Here is a 21824-nt window from a genome sequence, read left to right as displayed (position 1 = left end):
CAGAAATCTTTGTATACAGTGTATCAGTGAAGAGTTGGCATGCAGAGTCTAAAGGGTTGTTGCAACCTTTCCTAAAAGTTTACTTATGAGTAAACTTAAAATAATGGAATCTTTACCGGGTTCCTTTTGTATCTCCTAAAGGATACTATTTTTGCTTACTTATCAGGATTTAAATTTCAAAGCAAATGGAACAAAATGCTTTAATATTTAAAATCAATAAAAGCATAAATTTGCTAACTTTTTAATCACTTTATCATTTTTATTCAGTACATCATGCTACATCATTGTGAATAATGCATTATTCTGCTAATCTAAACAATTTTTAAGCTCTAATCATGTTTGGTGTCTTTACAAAACAGATAAAGTGTAGATATAGTATTATCTTAATACTTTGTTATTGAAATAATATTCTGAGAATAAAACAGGTTAGTGTATATGAGCTCTGAATGAAAAGTACTAACACATTATGCTAAGGTTGGGGATACATGTACACACACATACATGCATACACATATATACATACAAATACATAATATATTTTTAATGTTAATTGCATAGAATGCAATGAAATTTAGTTTTTATCAAGTAATAGGAGCAATAATTCAAAGTACTCTTATTATTGCATGTAACCCAAACTACAAAAGTGTACATTATAGAGAAAGAAAAGAAGATAAAATACTATTGGAACATTTTAAATATTGTATTTTCAGTGAAAGCGTATGTCATGCTCCATCAAAAGAGTCCACACGTGTTATGTGTAACGCAACAACTGCGAAATGCTGAACTGATAGACCCATCATTCCAATGGTATGGGCCTAAAGGAAAAGTTGTTTCAGGTAGGATTTTGTTTCAATTATTGTAATTAAATAAATGTATCTGAATTGTGTGCAACACAAAAAGAATGTTTGTATCTCATACATATTTATGTTATTTCCTCAATTCTTTTTCTTGTGATTTCCTTTTGGAGTTAGAGCTAACAATGTAGATAGTGTTCCCATTTTTACATATTTTATTTTGATACAGGGACATACTCTAAGAATGAACTGTTTGGGGGGTTCTCAAAGCATCTATAATCCCCCAAAGTTACTTTTTCTCACTTAAAAAATACTGTTTGTATGACTGATTTGATCAGTATTTCCTCTAGTCAACTTCTTGTTTTTTAATCCTGAAATACAGATTTTACTTTTTACTTTTATTCTAATTTTTTGATTGGATAAAAGCTGATTTTTAACACTGTAGTTTTAAAAAACTACAGTTAACTTAGCTGGCTTTGTTTCTTGCCTTGCAAAAAATATAGATTAATGAATTTTCATTTTGAAGATCTGTTCAGTCATTTTTGCATACCCTCAGAGAAAGTTTTCCTTTATTGCTCTATTTACCATGTTTTCTTTCCTTTCTTTTTAAAAATCTTATTGCTATTTTGAGATCGTGCCTGTGGATAGAAACTTACAGGCTTATTTTATTTTCTTGGATGAAGGAGAGCAATATATTTATACAAAGACTTGCTAAAGAAACATAGGAAATACTAATTTTTAATATGTTTTAATTCATATTTATATAGCTAAGAGATCTCAGCTGTATGTTTCTGTGGTATTTATGTTGATACAAAAATAGGTAATTTTAAAGAATTAATCTCCTCTTTGGGTCAGTCTGTGTTTTTCTTAGGACAAATTATTCATCATTCATTTAGTGAATGACTACTTGGTGGAAGCCGCTGTGCTAGGTTTTATGGGGGATAGAAAGATCAGACATAACCTCTGCCTCACTACACTAGCAAAGTAGGAACGATTGTGCAATTTGTTCATGGGATCAGCAGGGCTCAACAACAGAAATTCTAATAAGTTTTGCAGCTTATATAATCAGAGAAGTGATCCAGGCGTAAAAGCACCCAGTAGTGGAAATACAATCAAATTTTATTTTTATCACTCTCTAATAGTAGCACATAATGTAATAGAAACATGTGTTTTAAATATGTTTTACATTTTATATTGAAACTCTGCAAGTTGAAATATAGAAACATTTAAGCATTGAATTTTTTATTGTCATTTTTTGCTCGTTTGATTTGGAAATTGAAATTTGAAATTTTTTCTTCTCCGAGGTGCAACGCCAGGTCTTGCAGTTTATATTGCAAAATATAGTATGAAATTCAATTTATCCTTTAAGTAGGAGCAATATTTATTTTACTCACTCTTATAATAGAAAAGTAGGTATTGATAAATGTAGTTATTTCCAGGTAAAGATATAATCCTGTTACTACATTGGTTTTTATCTTTATAAAAACTGTTCTCAGGGAATTCTGGTATTTTAACTTTATGATTATATTATGGTTTTCAATACAGTATTTTATCATAGGTCACTCTCTACCAGTTGTAAAACTTATTAAGAACACTATACTTTTTATTTCAGAAAGGACTGGAAGAGGTCTAATGTCTTAAAGTTTGAAGAACAGAGAAGCTTTTTGGACTGTAGTTTAAACTGCACTGTACTTATCATTTTATGGATATCTCAAAGATAGTTTCCCTTGATTTGAGCCAAATAAATCATGTAATTATGTGATTACTTGTACATTCCTTTGGAGAAAATACTCAAGTTGTTTAGATGTGTTATGAAACATAGGGAGCAAGTCTTATATTTGGTGTCTCTCTTTTTCTCTGTTTCTTGAAAATTTAGTATTGTTTATTTACAAAGGTAATTGCATTTATTGCAACAAGTTCTGTACCTCCCACTCTGACCCTAATACTGTTCTGATGAATTAACTCTTTTTGGTGTGGGGACTTTTCCTGCTTTTCTAAATATTCACACAAACATGTATAAGTACTCACACATGTGTTCAGCTTTCCTACATCAAGCTATTAACATATCATTTACCTTACATAGTTGCCATTTTGTGTGTGTGTGGTGAGAACATTTGAGATTTACTCTCATAAAATTTCAAGTATACAATACATTATTGTTAACTGTATTTACCATTCTATACATTAGGTCTCCTGAACTTATTCATCTTATAACTGAAATTTTATACTCTTGGACCAAGAACCACATGTCTCCAACCCCCCAGTCCCTGGTAACCACCATTCTACCCTATATTTGTGGTAGGGTGGAGTGTGAATGTGACTTTTGTATGAGTATTAGTGTGACTTTTTTAGATTCCACATATTTCAGTTTCTGCCTTATTTTACTTAGCACAGTGAATTTTATAAAAATAATAAATACATAAGATTACTATGTGTCAGATATTATTCTAACAATTTACACATATTAATTTTAACAATGACCTTTTGCAGTAATTACAGCCACTTTCTCCATTTTATAAATGGGAAAACAAAAGCATTAAGAGAATAAGGTACTTTCCTAAAGTCATTATGTCTGAAGTCTTTTATCAGAGTTCATAGATATAATCTCAATGAGGTAGGAACACACCATTTTATGAATTTTGGTAGATTGTATCTTTCAAGGAATTTGTCCAACATTGGATTTTTAAATGTGTTGTATTTATATGCATAAAGTAGTTTGTAATATTTTGTGTTATCTCTTTATAGATAACAGATTTCTGGTTTTCAGAATCTATAGGGATGTGTCCTCATTCACTCCTGATGTTGGTTGTGTCTTCTCTCTCTTTTTTTTTGTTCTCTCTTACTAGTTATGTTGAGTATCTTTTCGTATGCTTGTTGTCCACATGTTTCACTTCTTTTGAGAAGTGTCTATTCATGTCTTTTGCCCATTTTTTAGTGGAGTTGCTTGATTTTTGTTTGTTTTGTTAAGTTCCTTATAGATTCTGGTTATTAGACTTCATGGGAGGCATAGTTTGCAAACATTTTCTCCCATTCTGTAGGTTGTTTGTTTACTTTGTTGATAGTTTCTTTTACTATGCAGAGCTCCTTAGTTTAATTAGTTTCCACTTGTCTGTTTTTGTTTGTCTTGCAATTGCTTTTGGAGTCTTGTTCATGAAAGCTTTGCCAGTGCCTATGTTCAGAGTGGTGTTTCCTAGATTTTCTTTTAGTATTTTTATTGTTTTAGGTCTTACACTTAAGTCTTTTAAAAATTTTTCTTAAGAATATTATTTTTTTTTAATTTTAGGTACATAGTAGGTGTATATATGTATGGGGTGGATAAGATGTTTTGATACAGGCAGTTAATGTGAAATAAGCACATCATGGAGAATGGGGTATCCATCCCCTAAAGCATTTATTCCTTAGGTTATAAATATTCCAATTACATTCTTTAAGTTATTTTAATATATGCAATTAAGTTATTATTGACTATAGTCATCCTGTTGTGCTATCAAATAGTAGGTCTTATTCATTTTTTCTATTTTTTGGTACCCATTAATCATCCCCACTTCCCCCTAAAACTCCCCACTACACTTCCCAGCCTCTGGTAACCATCCTTCTACTGTCTATGTCCATGAGTTCAATTGATTTGATTTTTAGATCCTACAGACAAGTGAGAACATGCAATGTTTGTCTTCTTATGACTGCTTATTTCGCTTAACATAATGATCTCCAGTTCCAGCCATGTTGTTGCAAATGTCTGGATCTCATTCCTTTTTATGGCTGAACAGTACTCCATTGTGTATATGTACCACATTTTCTTTATCCATTCATCTGCTGATGGACATGTAGTTTGCTTCTAAATCTTAGCTATTGTAAGCAGTGCTGCAACACACAGGAATGCAGATACCTCTTCAATATATTGATTTCCTTTCTTGTGGGTATGTACCAAGAAGGGAGATTGCTGGATCATATGTTAGCTCTGTTTTTAGTTTTTTGAGAAGCCTCCAAACTGTTCACCATAATGGTTGTACTAGTTTACATTCCCATCAACAGTGTACAAGGGTTCCCCTTTGTCCACATCCTCACCAGCACTTGTTATTTCCTGTGTTTTGGATATAAGCCATTTTAACTGGTGAGATGATACCTCTTGTAGTTTTGATTTGCATTTCTTTGACGATTAGTGATGTTGAGCACCATTTCATAGGCCTGTTTGCCATTTGAATGTCTTCTTGAGAAATGTCTATTCACATCTTTTGCCAATTTTCTTTGTCAGATTATTAGTTTTTTTTCCTATAGTTGTTTGAACTGCTTGTATATTCTGGATATTAATCCTTGTCAAAGGGGGTAGTTTGCATATATTTTCTCCCATTTTGTGGATTGTCTCTTCACTTCATTGATTGTATCCTTTGCTATGCAAAACCTTTTTAACTTGATGCAATCCCATTTGTCTGTATTTTCTTTGGTTGCCTGTGCTTGTGGGTTATTGCTCAAGAAGTCTTTTCCCAGACCAGTGTCCTGGAGATTTTCCCCAATGTTTATAATAGTTTCAGAGTTTGAGGTATTAGATTTAACTCTTTAATCTATTTTGATTTGATCTTTGTATATGGCAAGAGATAGGGATCTGGTTTCATTCTTCTGCATATGGATATCCAGTTTTCCCAGAACCACTTATTGAAGAGACTGTCTCTTCTCCAGAGTATGTCCTTGGCACTGTTGTCAAAAATGAATTCACCGTAGATGTGTGGATTTGTTTCTGGGTTCTCCATTCTATTTCATTGGTCTATGTGTCTGTTTTTATGCTAGTACCATGTTGTTTTGGTTAGTATAGCTCTATAGTATAATTTGAAGTCAGATAATGTGATTCCTCCAGTTTTGCTCTTTTTGCTCAGGATAGCTTTGGCTATTCCTGGGTCTTCTGTGGTTCCATATAATTTTTAGGGTTGTTTTTTCTATTTCTGTGAAGAATGTTGTTGGCATTTTGATAGGGATTGCATTGAATCTCCAGATTGCTTTGTATAGTTTGGACATTCTAATAATATTGATTCTTTCAATTCATGACACAGAATTTTTTTTTTCATCTTTGGATGTCCTCTTCAGTTTCCTTCATCAGGTGTTTTATAGTTTTCATTATAGAGATCTTTCACTTTTTTGGTTAATTCCTAGATGTTTAATTTTATGTGTGGCTGTTGTAAATGGGATTACTTTTTTATTTCTTTTTACATTTTTCACTGTTGGTATATAGAAATGCTACTGATTTTTGTATGTTGATCCTGAAATTTTACTTGCTTATTGGTTATAATAGTTTTTTCTTGAAGTCTTTAGGTTTTTCCAAATATAAGATCATATCACCAGCAAACAAGGATAATTTAACTTCTTTCTTTCCAATTTGGATGCCTTTGTATCTATCTTGTCTGATTGCTCTAGCCAGGACTTCCAGCACTATGTTGAGTAACAGCGGTGAGTGGGTATCCTTGTTGTGTTCCAGATCTTAGAGGAAAGGCTTTCAGTTTTTCTCCATTCAGTATGATACTGGCTGTGGTCTGTTGTATAAGTCTTTTATTATTTTGAGGTGTGTTCCTTCTATACTCAGTTTTTTTTGGGTTCTTATCATGAAGGGATGTTGAATTTTATCAAATGCTTTTTCAGCATCAATTTTGAAGTTTAATCAAAACATGATCGTTCATGTTTTTATCCTTCATTCTGTTAACATGATATATCACGCTGATTGATTTGGTATATTGGAACCATCCTCGCATCACAGGAATAAGTCCCACTTGGTAATGATAAATGATCTTTCTAACCTTTTGTTGAATTCAGTTTGCTAGTATTTTGTTGAGGATTTTTGCATCAATATTCATCAGAGATATTGACTTGTAGTTTTCTTTTTATGATGTGTTTTTGTCTGGTTTTGGTATAATGGTAATACTGGCCTTGTAAAATAAGTTTGGAAATATTCCCTCTTCTTCTATTTTTCAGAATTGTTTGAGTAGGATTGGTATTATTTCTTCTTCAAATGTTTCGTTTAATTCAGCAGCAAAGCCATTGAGTCCTGGGCTTTTCTTTACTTGGAGAGTTTTTATTAAGGCTTCTATCTTGTTACTTGTTATTGGTCTGTTCAGCTTTTGAATGTCTTCCTGATTCAATCTTGGTAGGTTGTATGTATCTAGGAATTTGTCCATTTCTTCTGGATTTTCCAATGTATTGGCATATAGTTGCTCATAGTAATCACTAATGATCCTTTGAATTTCTGCAGTATCAGTCATAATGTCTCCTTTTTCATTTCTGACTTTATTTGGATCTTCTCTCTTTCTTAGTCTGGCTAAAGGTTTGTCAATTTTGTTTAACTCTTCAAAAAACCAACTTTTTGTTTTATTGATCTTTTGTATTTTTTATCATTTCAAATTCATTTATTTCTCCTCTGATCTTTATTATTTCTTCTACTAATTTTGGGTTTGGTTTGCTCTTGCTTTTCTAGTTCTGCAAGATGCAATGTTAGATTATTTGAAGTTTTTCCCCTTTTTTCAATGTAGGCACTTAAATAGCTATAAATTTCTCTCTTAGTACTGATTTTGCTGTATCCCATAGGTTTTGGTATGTTGTGTTTCCATTAACATTTATTTCATGAAAATTTTCAATTTCATCCTTAATTTCTTTAACAACCCACTGGTCATTCAGGAGCATATTGTTTAATTTCTATGTATTTGTGTAGTTTCTAAAATTTCTCTTATTATTTATTTCTAGTTTTATTCCATTGTGGTCAGAGAAGATGCTTAATATTATTTCAGTTTTTAAAAAGTGTTTTAAGGCTTGTTTTGTGACCTAATATATGGTCTATCCTTGAGAATGATCTCTGTACTGAGGAAAATAATGTGTATTCTGCAGCTCTTAGATGAAATGGTCTATAAATGTCTACTAGATGCATTTGGTCTGTAGTATAGATTAAGTCTGATGTTTCCTTGTTGATCTTTCTGTCTGGAGGATCTGTCTAATGCTGAAAGTGGGGTGTTGAAGTCTCCCACTATTATTGTATTGAGGCCTCTCTCTCTCTTTAGCTCTAATAATATTTTCTTTATATATCTGAGTGCTCCCATGTTGGGTGTATACGTATTTATAATTGTCATATTCTCTTGCTGAATTGACCCCTTTATTATTATATAGTGACCATTTTTTTTCTCTGATAGTTTTTGTCTTGCAACCTATTTTGTCTGATGTAAGTATAGCAATTGCCACTCTTTTTTGCTCTCCATTGGCATGAAGTATCTTTTTATATCCCTTTATTTTCAGCCTATGTGTATCTTTATAGGTGAAGTGTGTTTCTTATAGGCAGTAGATCAGAGGGTCTTGTTTTTTCATCTACTCTGTCTATTTTTTATTAGAGAATTTAGTCAATTTACACTTAATGTTATTATTTATAAGTAAGGACTTCCTCCTGCCATTTTATTATTTGTTTTCTGGTTTTCTCTTCCTTCTTTCTCTCCTTTCTGTCTTCCAGTAGTGAAGGCGATTTTCTCTGATGATATGATTTAGCTTCTTGCTTTTTATTTTTTGTGTATCCATTGTATGCTTTTCGGTTTTAGGTTACCATGAGGCTTGCAATTGCTATCTTATAATCCAATATTTTTACCTGATAAAAACTTAACATTGTTTGCATAAACAAACAAAAAGAAAACTAATAAAAACTCTATGCCTTAATTTAATCCCCCTGCTTTTTAACTTCTGTTTTTTCTATTTATATCTTATTGTATTGACTATGTCTTGAAACGTTGCTGTAGTTACTATTTTTGATTCGTTCATCAAAGACTAGTTTACACATCACAGTTACAGTGTTGTAATATTCTGTGTTTTTCTGTGTACTATTACCTGCGAGTTTTGTACCTTCAGGTGATTATTTATTACTCATTAATTTTCTTTTCTTTCTAACTGAAGTACTCCCTTTAGCATTTCTTGTATGAAAGTTGAGGTATTGGTGAAATCCCTCAGCTTTTGTGTGTCTGGGAAAGTCTATTTCTCCTTCATGTTTGAAGGATATTTTTGCCAGATATACTATTCTAGGATAAATTTTATTTTTCCTTCAGCACTTTAAATATGTCATGCCACTCTCTCCTGGCCTGTAAGGTTTCCACTGAAAAGTCTGCTGCCAGATGTATTGGAACTCCATTGTATGTTATTTGTTTTTTCTTTCTGCTTTTTGGATCCATTCTTTAACCTTTACCTTAGGGAGTTTGATTATTAAATGCCTTGAAGTAGTCTACATTGGGTTAAATCTGCTTGGTGTTCTGTAACCTTCTTGTACTTGGATATTATGACTTTGTCTAGGTTTGGGAAATTCTCTGTTATTATCCTTTTGAATAAACTTTCTACCCTTATCTTTTCCTCTGTCTCCTCATTAAGGCCAATTAACTGTTAGATTTGCTGTTTTGAGGCTATTTTCTAGATCTTCTGGAATGCTTCACTGTTTTTTACTCCTTTTTCTTTTGTCTCCTTCATGTATTTTTAAGTAGTGTGTTTTCAAGCTCACTAATTCTTTCTTCTGCTTGATTCATTCTGCTGTTAAAGGACTCTGATGCATTCTTCAGCATGCCATTGCATTTTCAGCTCCAGGATTTCTGCTTGATTCTTTTTATTTCAATTTCTTTGTTAAATATATCTAATTATGAATTGCTTCTCTGTACTATCTTGAATTTCTTTGAGTTTCTTCAACATAGCTATTTTAAATTGCCTTTCTAAAAGGTCACATATCTCTGTTTTTCCAGGATTGGTCCCTGGTATTTAGTTTATTTGTTGAGGTCATGTTTTCCTGAATAGTGTTGATACTAGTAGATGTTCTTTGGTGTCTGGCCATTGAAGAGCTAAGTATTCATTGTAGTCTTCACTGTCTGCGCTTATTTGTAGCCATTCTTCTTGGAAAGGCTTTTCCGATATTTGAAAGCCCTTGGGTGTTGTGATCTAAGTTGTATCTGTTTTAGGAGGCTCCATTCTTCTTGGAAAGGCTTTTCAGATATTTGAAAGGACTTGGATGTTATGATGTAAATTGTGTCTGTTTTAGGAGACACCTCAAGCTCAGTAATGCTTTGGTTCTTGCAGATTCACAGAGGTATTACCTTGATGGTCTTGTACCAGATCCAGGAAAATTTTCTGGATTACCAGGCAGGGATTCTTGTTTTCTTCCCTTACTTTCTCCCAAAACATACAGAGTCTCTGTCTCTGTTTTGAGTCACCTAAAGTTGGAGGTTGAGTGACAATAGCATCCCTGTGGCTACCACTACTGTGACTACACTGGGTCAGACCTGAAGCCAGGCCTGCTGTAACCACTCCATGGCTCCAGCCTGTGTTTGCTCAAGGCCCTGGGGCTCTCCAATCAGCAGGAAGTAAAGCCAGCCAGGCCTTTGTCCTTCCCTTCAGTGCTGCAAGGTCCCCCAATCCCTTGGTGGGTTCAGAAGTGCTGTCTGGGATTCAGGGACTAGAGTAAAAAACCTTAGAAGTCTGCCTGGTGTTCTATTATATTGCAGCTGAGCTGGCACTCAAAGCAAAAGACACACTCCTTCCCATTCTACCCTGCTACTCTTTCCAAAGGGAGAGGAGCCTCACCTGATAGCCACCACCACCCCCAGGCCAGTGGGATTATTGCCAACTACCACCAATGTTCCCTTAAGGCCCATGCTTCCTGGCCTGGGACTTACCCTTCAGGGCAGTGGACTGTTGTCTGGCCCCAGGGCAAGTTCAGAAATGCCATCCAAACATCAAGCCCTGTTCACTGGAGATCCTGAGAGTCCACTTGTTGCTCTCCCCGTCTGTGTCCATGCTGGTAGTTAAGGTATAAGACAAAGTGCCCTTTAGTTTTCCTTCTGCATTTCTCAAGCAGAAGGAGTTTTTCCCCATAGCCACCACAGCTGGTCATGTGCTGAGTCTCACCTGAAGTGAGCAAGTCTCAGAGGCCCACCCAAGGCCCTTGATGTTGTACCTGGGTATCGCTGCTGGTTATTCAGGGCCCAAGGGCTCTTCAGTTAGCAGATGATGAATGCTGCCAGGACTGGGTCTTTTTTTTTAAGGCAGCAGGTTCCCTTCTGGCCCAGGGTATGTCTAGAAATGCCCTCTTGGAACTAGGGCCTGGAATGGGGACATCACAACTCTGACCAGTGCTCTATCCTACTGTGCTTGGGCTGGTATCTTAGATGCAAGACAGCGTCCTCCCCACTCTTTCCTTTCCTCTCCTCAGGTGGAAAGAAGGGGTGCCTTTTGGAGCTGCAAACTGTGGAGCCTATGGTTAGAGGAGGGGTGATGCCAGCCCTCCCTTGGCTTCCCCAGCTGGTGTCTCAGTTCACCAGGTGTGTGCCCCCTCAGTTCACTGTCTTTGGGCCTAGTTCAGCACTAGGACTCACCTATGTTTTGTAGCCCTATGGCCTAGATTGCCTTTCAAGTTTACTTGGAGAGTAAACAGAGTGCTGTAGACCTTGGTGGCAAGGTTTGCAGGCACTCAAGTTCATATTGCTGGGATCGATGATTCTCTTCTGGTTTGGGCTGGTTTAAATGCTCACTCCATGGGCAGGTATCAGCTGAATTTGGTCTGCTTTTCCTTTCTGCTCTAACAGGACAGCTCTGAGCTCAATACCTCACAATTGCTGTGTTCTCCCTCCCCCAGTATCCAGAGACACTATTTGCACCAGGCCACCACTGTGGGGCATGGGGTTGGTGGTGGGGTAGGGGTGGCATTGGTGATTTTGGATTTTTAAAAAGTCTTTTCAGTGCCTACTTTAGTGATATTGGAACAGGAATTAAAAGAAATTAAAAAATTTGTAATCAGAAACTTAGTTGTGTGTAAGAAAACCCAGTTCCCCCTGAGAAAAAGAAAGAGCTGGAGTCCTTTAGAATTAACTGCCTGTTTTTCTGTGGCTAGTGAGCCTTATCTCTCCCCCTTTCCCAGGCATTGTGAAGACCCTGTTTTTCTAGCTGTGCAGCTTCAAGGTCACTAGACAGATAAACTCAAGTCGTAAAACATGTTTTTCCTTGAAAAGTAAAAAACAATATAATACATGTCTCAATTAATTGAATAGCTGTCTTTGTTTATCACTTCTGTAATATGCTTCCCCCTGCACAGATCTCCCCCACCCCACAAAATGCTTAAAAGGTAACTTGACTCTTTGTTCAGGGCTCAGTCCTTTGGATGTTAATCCAACTGGGCTGGTGCACCTAAATAATAAATATCCTCCTGAACCCCATCAGTCTCTCTGATTCCTTATCAATTCCACTACATTTCTGGGGGCTTGTCCGGGGTTGAAGATGACAGATTTACTGTCTCCTTTGCCTGTGGGACTAGAGCCCCAGGGCTGGGTGAGACCCAGCATCCAAGGCGCACCACGGGAGAGCTTCACCCGGATGAAAACTGGCTCTCCTGCGTCCCGGCACCCTGCCTGGCAGTGCAGCAGAACCAGGTACGGGGCTGTAGGACAATACCAGCACTTCAGGAACTGAAGTAAGGAGTAAGGGCCCAAGACAGGAAAGCCCTTCCCATAGGGATGAAGGGGAGTTTGATCACCTCCAGGGTACCAACCACTAATCCAACCCAGAGTGGCTGGGGGCGGCAGAAGTGGCCTGCCAATTTGGATGAACCTTGTGTCCCCACTAACAAAGTGAAAGTGGTTCACTGGATCTGGAGACAGGAACTGGGAGTGGGTGGGTGTGTGTGAACCTACCCAGGATGAGAGACACTCGTTTAGTCTGATGAGGAGTCCTGGGGTAGGAGTGTTGTGTGTATGTGTGTGAATGTGGGAGCCTAACTAGGCTCACCTGGGACATGAGAGAGGCTTGTTTTGTCCAATTAGGAGTCCTGGGGCAAGGGAGATGTGTGAAATGGCATGAAAGAGATGGTCTTGGGAGAGGCCAATGCAGGGAGTGACGTGGGGAGGCATAGATCCCTAGCATGGTCTGTGTGCTCCAAGGCGAGTGTTGGGGAAATCAGACTGAGGACGTTGCATAAGGCTGATAGGACCAGCTTCGTAGCCGCAGCAGGCTATGACAGGGGAAGGCACGTTCCTGGCTGAGCAGTGTCTGAAACTCCTGTAATAGGACCCCGTCTGGTGGATCTGAGAGTGAAAGTGAGAGTGAAAGTGCGTTGCAAGGGAGGAAATAGGAGGGAAAGCATCAAAACCAACCCTTTTGGAGTGCATGATAAAGAATTTAAAAAAAAAGATTTAGTGGTGATTATGGGATAAAACTGGATGTTCAAAAGTTGAGGACATACTGTGAATTAGAGTAGCCCTCTTTGTGTTAGATGGCTGGCCGAAGGCACTATAGAGAAATTGGTCGTGTGTTTTAAGGTGGTGACTAGGGTTGGAGGACATCCAAGGCATTCAGACCTAGTCTTTGTATTGACTCATGACTAAATGAATGCAGCCCTGCCTAGCAGTTTATTGTAAAATGCTTGCAGCTCACGCCAAGAGAAACTAGCTGTGCTGGCAGCTACAGAGTTAAAGGGAAAGTCACAGAGGCTTGTAGCACCGCCAAGCCAATAGTGAAAGTAAAAATCAGCTGCCCCAGAAGCTGAGACAAAAAAAAAGTCTCTGGAAAGGCAGAAAAACCAGTTTTGCAAGAACCACAGTAGGGAATAGAGACCCCTCCTCCCTACATTCCAATCTACCCATTTACCAGGCTAACTGCCTCTAAGGAGTTAAGTTAAAAGGAATACAGGCTGTCAATCTCACATGAGAAGGAGAAATCAGGGCTCAGGGAAATTAAAGTGAAAGGCTCAAAAAGTCAGGCAGGCCGTCTCAGATCTGGCCGTGCCCAAGTTATGCTTATGCCTCTTAAGAGGACAAGAGGACCCCTGCTAAGAGCCAGATGATGCAGTCGAGCTTTAGCACCTACAAAGGTGCTGAGAAGCAGTTCTGCAAAGGCTAAAGGATGGTAAAAGAAAGGCAACCAATATAAAAATCTCAGAGGTGCTCCAGGGTGCAGATAAAAGCACCAGCCAATTTTATAAAAGACTGTGAGGCATTTCGGTTGTATACTCCGTTTAACTCTGAGGCTGCTGAAAATCAGCACATTGTGAATATGGTGTTTGTAAGGCAGGACCAAGGAGATACCAGGCATAAATTGCAGAAGTTAGAAGCTCCATAGGTGTGAATGCTACTCAGCTTATTAAAGTGGCTACCAAGATGTAAATTAACCGAGATCAGAAGGCTGATCGGAGGCTTTAAAAAGGCTAATTTACTAGCAGCAACCCTTACGGAAAGAGAAGCTGGCTTTGCAAGGAGGCATGAACGCAGGTGTGAACGCAGTCGTGGAAAAAGCTAGTCTGGACAGGAGTTTGAAAGCCGGCTGAGGCTAGAGAAAGATTAATGTGCTTGATGTAAAAGAAAAGCACACTAGAAGGATAAATGTCAGGGCCATAGTATGAAAAAAAAAAAAAACACTGGCCAAGGGCTACTGCACCCAGAAAAACCCAAGACCCCCTGCACCTGCTGTGAAAGACAGGCTATAAAGTGTCAGGAGAAAGCTCAGATGTGCTTTAAAAGTGTCCAGTAGTTGGGCTTTCATATAAGCCAAGAAGAACGATGCCTTGGAGTGAACAAAAGCAGGCTGTTTGTGCACTTCCTACTCCAACCACCTGGCGTCCAATAAGAGAGTCCCTAAGGGCAGCAAGGTTCTGCCACATTTAGATGCCAAATGTCTTGTTCATGGCTAAGCCATTATACAAAGCCACAAAGAGGAGAAAAAAAGGAGTCTCTCCTCTAAGAGGCCAACCAGGAGAAGGCTTTAAAAAAAAATCAAAGAAGCCTTGACTCAGGCTCCAGCTTTAGGACTACCAGATCTAACTAACTAAGCTTTTCTTCTTGTATGTCCACAAGTGAAAGGGAGGCCATAGAGGTTCTAACTCTAAGTTAGAACTTAGAAGGACAACTACTAAATTAGAAGTCCTTAGAAGGACAACTGCCCTGCTCTGACCACACCAGTTCTAACTCTAACTCAAGTCATAAAGTCATGGCATCACCCAGTGACATACTTATCCAGGCAATTAGATTCTGTGGCACTTGGATGGCTTCCTTATTTTAAAACACTAGCTGCCACTGCCCTACTGGTGCAGGAAGCTAATAAACTGACTTTAGAGACTGTGAATACTCTAAACCCGGCTATGTTGCTCCTCATCGAGTCAGTGACAGGAGGCCCTTTTCATTGCTGGGTGGACATGGTAGATGAAATGTTCTCAAGCCGAAGAGATTTGACAGATCAGCTCCTCAAGGACCCAGACATTGAATATTTTACTGATAGAAGCAGTTTCATATTAAAGGGAGTCTGCTGAGCTAGGTATACAGTGGTGACTTTGGACTCAGTAGTGCAGTCTTTGCCTATAGAAACTTCTGCTTAGAAAGCAGAGCTAATATCTCTGACAAGAACTCTTTGGCTAGCAAAAGACCAAAGGACAAATATTTACACAGATTCCAAATATGCTTCTGCTGCTTTGCATGTTCATGAGGCTATTTACGAAGGAAAAAAAAAGATTTTAACTGCTGGAAGTAAAAAAATAAAGTACAAGGAAGAAATTCTACAGCTCTTAAATGCTGTATGGGCCCCCAAAGAGGTGGTTGTGATGTGCTGCAAGGGGCACCAAAAAGCAAGAACACTAAAGGCTAAAAAAAAGGGAAAGGCAAACGTAAAGGCAAATGCAGGCTTTAAGTATGGCCATGCAAAAGATGCATGGTTAGGTATGAAAAAAAATGCGTGTAAGTCTAACAGACCCAGTACACCCTTTCAAACCTGAGGACTTTGTTTAGGTTAAAAAATAGGGTCTAACCACTCTAGGACCCATATAAGATAGGCCCCATATTGTGATCATGTCTACTCCCACTGCTGTTAAAGTTGCAGGTGTCACACCTTGGATTCACCATAGCTGGCTAAAATCAGCGGCAGTAGTGACTCCCGACGACGACCAGTGGATTAGCCAACAAGACCCAGATCGCCCGACCCGAATAGTCCTACAGTGAAACCCAGCCACTGGTAAGGACAACTGCCCTGCTCTGACCACACTGGAGGCTGGTCAGTCTATGCATGGCTGAAGCTTGAGGATCCTGCAAGCTCTGCTCTAATCACATCCCGAAAGCTGACTAGTCTATGCACAGCTGAAGCTAAGAGGACCATCTCTGGATAAGTAAATGTGAATACAATGTATAAGCCTAGTTATAATTCTATCAGTACTGATTGTTCTGTTGTTATGTTATTACTGCAAATGCTGCAAATGTCTATGCCCAGAGGAATGTTTGCCATGCCTATGTGTAGTGTAAGCATAGTTCTATTACCTACGCTAATGTTTTTACCATTTCTGCCTATACTAAAAGGGAAGAAATCTCTAGAAAAATGCCCACACTGTGTAGACACTACCTGGGTAAGGAATACCATAGTTACAACTCTACCATACCTACTATAAATATACAGGAACCAGGTTAGGAACCTGCACATACAACCAGACCACCTATTCAGTCTGTGACCCAGGAAATAATCAGCTATATGTATGTTATGACCCTAAGCTCTTAACCTATAAATTCTGGTTTAAAACACATATTAAATCAGAGAAAAAAAAAAAAGAAAGAGAGCTTATAGCTCAAACCAAAGAAGACCCTCTCTCCTATAAAAGGCCTATTTCCTTGTACTTTGATGCCTGCCATGCTGCATATGTTCATAATCCTAAAACAATCAGAAGCAGTCTGCAATGGTTTAACACAAGAGAGGCTTAAGCAGCAGCAGCCCTAAACATCTGTACAGAAAACCACAAATTGGATGCCCAGACTGTAACATTCAGTGGAATACGCTAACACAGCTCCAACACTTATATTCAGGAAAGACTGCTCTACTAAGTAGTATGTCAACCAAATGAAATTGTAAGACAAGGACATGCAGTTCTTTAAATTTTACTGTCTTAAAGCCAGAGCTACCTTTTTGGTCTACAGGACAGACAGCACTGTTACAAGTTAAAAGGAACAGGCCTTGGAGTTCCACTACTAATTGTCAAAAAGACTAGAAGGACTCAAATGCATCCAACCCTGCAATTCCAGGTCCATAAGTCATTCTAAAAGCATTTTAATCAGTCAGTGCCTGAGCTTCTCCCATCAACCAAAACGATATTTGCTCAACTAGCTGAAAACATAGCTGGCAGCTTAAGAATTTCCTCATACTATGTATGTGGAGAAACAAAAATGGGAGACCAGTGGCCATGGGAGGCAAAAAAATTAATGCCACAAGATCACTTCACTTCACCTAACCCAGTCAGTGAACCAACAGCCTCAGCCAGTGTTTAGTTGTTAAAAACCTCCATAATTGAAAAGTACTGTATCGCCTGATAAGAAAAGGCTTTCACAGAAGCAGTAGGAAAAACAACCTGCCCAAGGCAACAATATTATAATAAGACTAATAACAAAACTCTACGGAGAAACGCCCAGAATGACTCCTACTTACCAGATCCAAACCCTTTCTCTTGATTCTCTACTCTAAGCCACTCTTGAGATCAACTAGAGGCTCCAAATGCTTGGAAGGCACCCTCTGGCCTGTATTAGATCTGTTGAACATGGGCATATTGGCAACTGCTGGCTAAATGGATGAGGGCATGTGTGTTAAAAACAATCAAGCCTTCCTCTTTCTAATTCCTCTAAAGCAAGAGGAACTCTTAAGATATCCAGTTTATGATAAAAATTAAAAAATAGGAGCATACTCACAAAAATAGACACAAATATCAAAGAAATGTGGACATAAGTGTTGTGGGAAGTCAGGGACTACAAACGGAGGGACCGGCTGAAGCCATGGCAGAAGAACGTGGATTGTGAAGATTTTATGGACATTTATTAGTTCCCCAAATTAATACTTTTATAATTTCTTATTCCTGTCTTTACTGCAATCTCTAAACATAAAATTGTAAAGATTTCATGGATACTTATCACTTTCCCAATCAATACCCTTGTGATTTCCTATGCCTGTCTTTACTTTAATCTCTTAATCCTGTCAGCCGAGGAGGATGTATGTCACCTCAGGACCCTGTAATAATTGCATTAACTGCACAAATTGTACAGCATGTGTGTTTGAGCAATATGAAATGTGGGCACCTTGAAAAAAGAACAGGATAACAGCAATTGTTCAGGGAATAAGAGAGATAACCTTAAACTCTGACCGCTGGCGAGCTGGGCGGAACAGAGCCATATTTCTCTTCTTTCAAAAGCAAATGGGAGAAATATCACTGAATTCTAATTCTTTTTCTCAGCATGGAACATCCCTGAGAAAGAGAATGTGTGCCTGCGGGTAGGTCTCTGAACTGGCCCCCTGGGCGTAGCTGTCTCTTATGGTCGAGGCTACAGAGATGAAATAAACTCCAGTCTCCCATAGTGCTCCCAGGCTTATTAGGAAGAGGAAATTCCTGCCTAAGAAATTTTGGTCAGACCGGTTGATCTCAAAACCCTGCTTCCTGATAAGATGTTATCAATGACAATGGTGCCTGAAACTTCATTAGCAATTTTGATTTCACCTCGGTCCTGTGGTCCTGTGATCTCCCCCTGCCTCCACTTGCCTTGTGATATTCTATTACTGTGTTAAGTACTTGATGTCTGTCACCCACACCTATTCACACACTCCCTCCCCTTTTGAAAATCCCTAATAAAAACTTGCTGGTTTTTGTGGCTTGTGGGGCATCACGGATCCTACCAACGTGTGATGTCTCCCCCGGATGCCCAGCTTTAAAATTTCTCTCTTTTGTACTCTGTTCCTTTATTTCTCAAGCTGGCTGACACTTAGGAAAAATAGAAAAGAACATACGTAATTATCGGGGCAGGTCCCCCGATACATAAGAGACTGGAAAGATAATGAATGGCCTCCTGAAAAAATCATTAAATATTATAGGCCAGCTATGTGGGTGCAAGATGGGTCATGGGGGTACCACACCCCAATCTATGTGTTCAACTGCATCATAAGGTTGCAGGCAGTCCTTGAAATTATAACCAATGAAACATCAAGGGCACTAGATTTATTGGCAATACAAGCAACACAAATAAAAAATGCTGTATATCAAAATAGATTAGCTTTAGATTACCTCTTAGCCTAAGAAGGAAGAGTATGTGAAAAATTTAATTTAACCAACTGTTGCCTAGAAATTGATGATAATGGCCGAGCTATCATGGAAATCACAGCTAGAATGTGAAAGTTGGCCTATGTTCCAGTTCAGACTTAGTCCAGGTGGTCCCCGGATTCTTTGTTTAAAAAAAAAAATGGTTCTCAAGCTTTAAAGGATTCAAAACCCTCACTGGTAGGTTCTTGCTTATTCTTGGCATCTGCCTCATCCTCCCTTGCCTTTTACCTCTGTTTATTAGGAGTATTCAGTCAACTATAGAGTTTGTATATTCTGACAAACTACTGTGCAGTTGATGGCATTAACCAAATATCAGCTGCTGCCAGTAGAAGAAAAAGCTCAGCTCCGCAAAGAGATGGCAAATAGTGGTGCTTTCTATGAACATCTTTGTGATAAAAAGCACCAAATGGGGGAATGGAACAGGAATTAAATTAAAAAATGTATAAGCAGAAACTCAGTTGTATATAAGAAAACCCAATTCCCCCTGAGAAAAAGAAAGAACTGGAGTCCTTCAAAAATTAACTGCCTGTTTTTCTGTGGCTAGTGAGCCTTATCTCTCCTCCCTTCCCAGGCATTGTGAAGACCCTGTGTCTCTAGCTGTGCAGCTGCAAGGTCACCAGACAGATAAACTCAGTCGTAAAACATGTTATTTCTTGAAAAGTAAAAAATGATGTAATGCATGTCTCAATTAATTGAATAACTGTCTTTGTTTCTCTCTTCTGTAGTATGCTTCCCCCTGCATTGATCTCCCCCCACCCCACAAAATGTTAAAAGGTAACGACTCTTTGTTTGGGACTTTGGATATTAATCCGACTGGGCTGGTGCACCTAAATAATAAATATCCTCCTGAACCCCATCAGTCTCTCTGATTCCTTATCAATCCAGCTACAATATGAAGTTAAAACCAGGCACTATGAGTGCTCATCTGATTTTTGTTATTAAGAGAAGGTATTTTTTTAATGGATAGTTGTTAACTTGGTGTCCTTGCAGGAAGAATGATCAGTAGAGCCTTCTATTCAGCCATCTTGCTTTGCCCTTTCTCCAGGAGTCTTTAAGTCATCTTGCATTGATTTTTTATATATGGTAGAAGGAAGGGCGCCAGTTTCAATCTTGTGCACGTGGCTAGGCAGTTATTCCAGAACCGTTTATTGAATAGGGACTTATTTCTCCATTGCTTGTTTTTGTCATTTTTGTTGAAGATCAGATGATTGTAGGTGTGTGGCTTTATTTGTGGGGTCTCTATTCTGTTCCATTAGTCTATGTGTCTGTTTTTATACCAGTGCTATGCTCTTTTAGTTACTATAGCCCTGTAGTGTAGTTTGAAGTCAGGTAGTGTGTTACCTCTGGCTTTGCTCTTTTTACTTAGGATTACTTTGGCTGTTCCAGCTCTTGTTTGGTTCCATATGAGTTTTACAGTAGGTTTTTTCTAATCTATGAAAAATTTCACTGGTAATTTGATAGGAAAAGCATTGAATCTGTAAGTTGTTTTGGGTAGTATGGTTATTTTAACAATATTGATTCTTTCTACCCATGAGCATGGAATGTTTTTCCATTTGTTTGTGTCATCTGTGATTTCTTTAAGCAGTACTTTGTAATTCTCATAGTAGAGATCGTTCACCTCCCTTGTTAACTGTATTCCTAGGTATTTTATTCTTTTTGTGGCCATTGTGAATGGGATTGTGTTCTTGATTTGGCTCTCAGTTTGGATATTATTGGTGAATAGAAATGCCACTGATTTTTATACATTGATTTTGTATCTTGGAAGTTTGCTGAAGTTGTTTATCAGATCTAGAAGCCTTTGAACAGAAACAGTGTTTTTTTGTTTGTTAGTTTGCTTCGCTTTTTTGAGATGGAATCTCACTCTGTCGCCCAGGCTGGAGTGCAGTGGTGTGATCTCTGCTCACTGCAACCTCTGCCTCTCAGGTTCGAGCGATTCTCATGCCTCAGCTTCCTGTCTTATCTGTGTGTTACTGTCAGCTCTTTCTGGCCGCTTGTAATTAGAAGAGAAGTGATTTCATTGAAATGCATCAGGCTAGAAAGAGAGCTGGAACTTAAAGTGGCAGTGTTTGTTCAAGATGATGGTGCTCCTGCTCTGTCAATATGGAATAGCCAGGAGAAATCATTAAAATCATTAAAATCAACCCTTTATTAGCTGGGATTACAGGCATGCACCACTATGCCTGGCTAATTTTTGTATTTTTAGTAGAGATGAGGTTTCACTATGTTGGCTAGGCTAGCCTTGAACTCATGGCCTCAAATGATCTGCCTGCCTCGACCTCCCAACATGCTGGGATTATGGATGTGAGCCACCACACCAGGCCATGATGGGGTTTTCTAGGTATAGAATCAAATAGTCTGTGAAGGCAGATAATTTGAAGTCCTCTTTTCCTGTTTGGATGACTTTTATTTCTTTCTCTTGCCTGATGCCCTGGTTTGAACTTCCAGAACTATGTTAATAGGAGCGGTGAGGGTGCGCATTCTTGTCTTGTTCTGGTTCTCAAGGGGAAATGCCTCTAGCTTTTGCCTGTTTAGTATGATGTTGGCTGTGGGTTTGTCACACATGGCTATTATTATGTTGAGGTATGTTCCTTTGATGCCCAGTTTATTGAGGGTTTTTAACATAAAGGGAGGTTGAATTTCATTGAATGGCTTTTCTGCATCTGTTGAGATGATCGTGTGATTTCTGTTTTTAGTTTTGTTTCTGTGATGAATCAAATTTATTGATTTGCGTATGTTGAACCAACCTTGCATCCCAGGGATAAACCCTACTTGATTGTGATGAATTAGCTTTTTGATGTGCTTCTGGATTTGCTATGCTAGTATTTTGTTGAGGATTTTTACATCTATGTTCATCAGGGTTATTGTCCTAAAATTTCTTTTTTCATTTTGTGTCCACCAGATTTTCATATCAGAATGATACTGGCCTCATAGAATGAGCTAGGAAAGAGTCGATC

The 21824-nt window shown here is 38.3% G+C and overlaps 1 protein-coding gene across 11 annotated transcripts in view, besides 3 other annotated features; it reads left to right on the top strand.

Moving 5' to 3' along the window:
• Window positions 1-21824, top strand: part of ZPBP (zona pellucida binding protein) — a 252593-nt gene that overhangs the window by 10637 nt on the left and 220132 nt on the right. For 10 of the 11 annotated variants that reach the window (XR_001744543.2, XM_011515097.2, XM_011515101.4 and 7 more), the window contains exon 3: window positions 711-836. The exons of the other annotated variant lie outside the window; for it this stretch is intronic. Coding sequence is in view for 9 of the 10 variants with exons in the window: in XM_011515097.2 (XP_011513399.1) it covers window positions 711-836 (126 nt within the window). In the remaining variant the exon portion in view is untranslated. The remainder of the gene's footprint in view (window positions 1-710; window positions 837-21824) is intronic. 11 annotated transcript variants of the gene reach the window in all.
• Window positions 10346-10846: an enhancer, noted in NCBI's record as "H3K27ac hESC enhancer chr7:50111360-50111860 (GRCh37/hg19 assembly coordinates)". NCBI's record gives its function as "activates a minimal SCP1, AML or CMV promoter by ChIP-STARR-seq in naive H9 embryonic stem cells {active_cell/tissue: H9 hESC(naive)}" and the evidence as "EXISTENCE:reporter gene assay evidence [ECO:0000049][PMID:30033119]".
• Window positions 13241-13330: an enhancer, noted in NCBI's record as "active region_25990". NCBI's record gives its function as "activates an Ori minimal core promoter by ATAC-STARR-seq in GM12878 lymphoblastoid cells {active_cell/tissue: GM12878}" and the evidence as "EXISTENCE:reporter gene assay evidence [ECO:0000049][PMID:35858748]".
• Window positions 20760-20960: a silencer, noted in NCBI's record as "peak6516 fragment used in MPRA reporter construct". NCBI's record gives its function as "represses an SCP1 promoter by STARR-seq MPRAs in K562 erythroleukemia cells {active_cell/tissue: K562}" and the evidence as "EXISTENCE:reporter gene assay evidence [ECO:0000049][PMID:32103011]".

This window comes from Homo sapiens, chromosome 7 (genome assembly GCF_000001405.40).
Source record: "Homo sapiens chromosome 7, GRCh38.p14 Primary Assembly".
Classification (NCBI taxonomy): Eukaryota; Metazoa; Chordata; class Mammalia; order Primates; family Hominidae; genus Homo; species Homo sapiens.
Note: the sequence above shows the minus strand (reverse complement) of the source record. Positions and strands in the feature narration are given on the sequence as shown.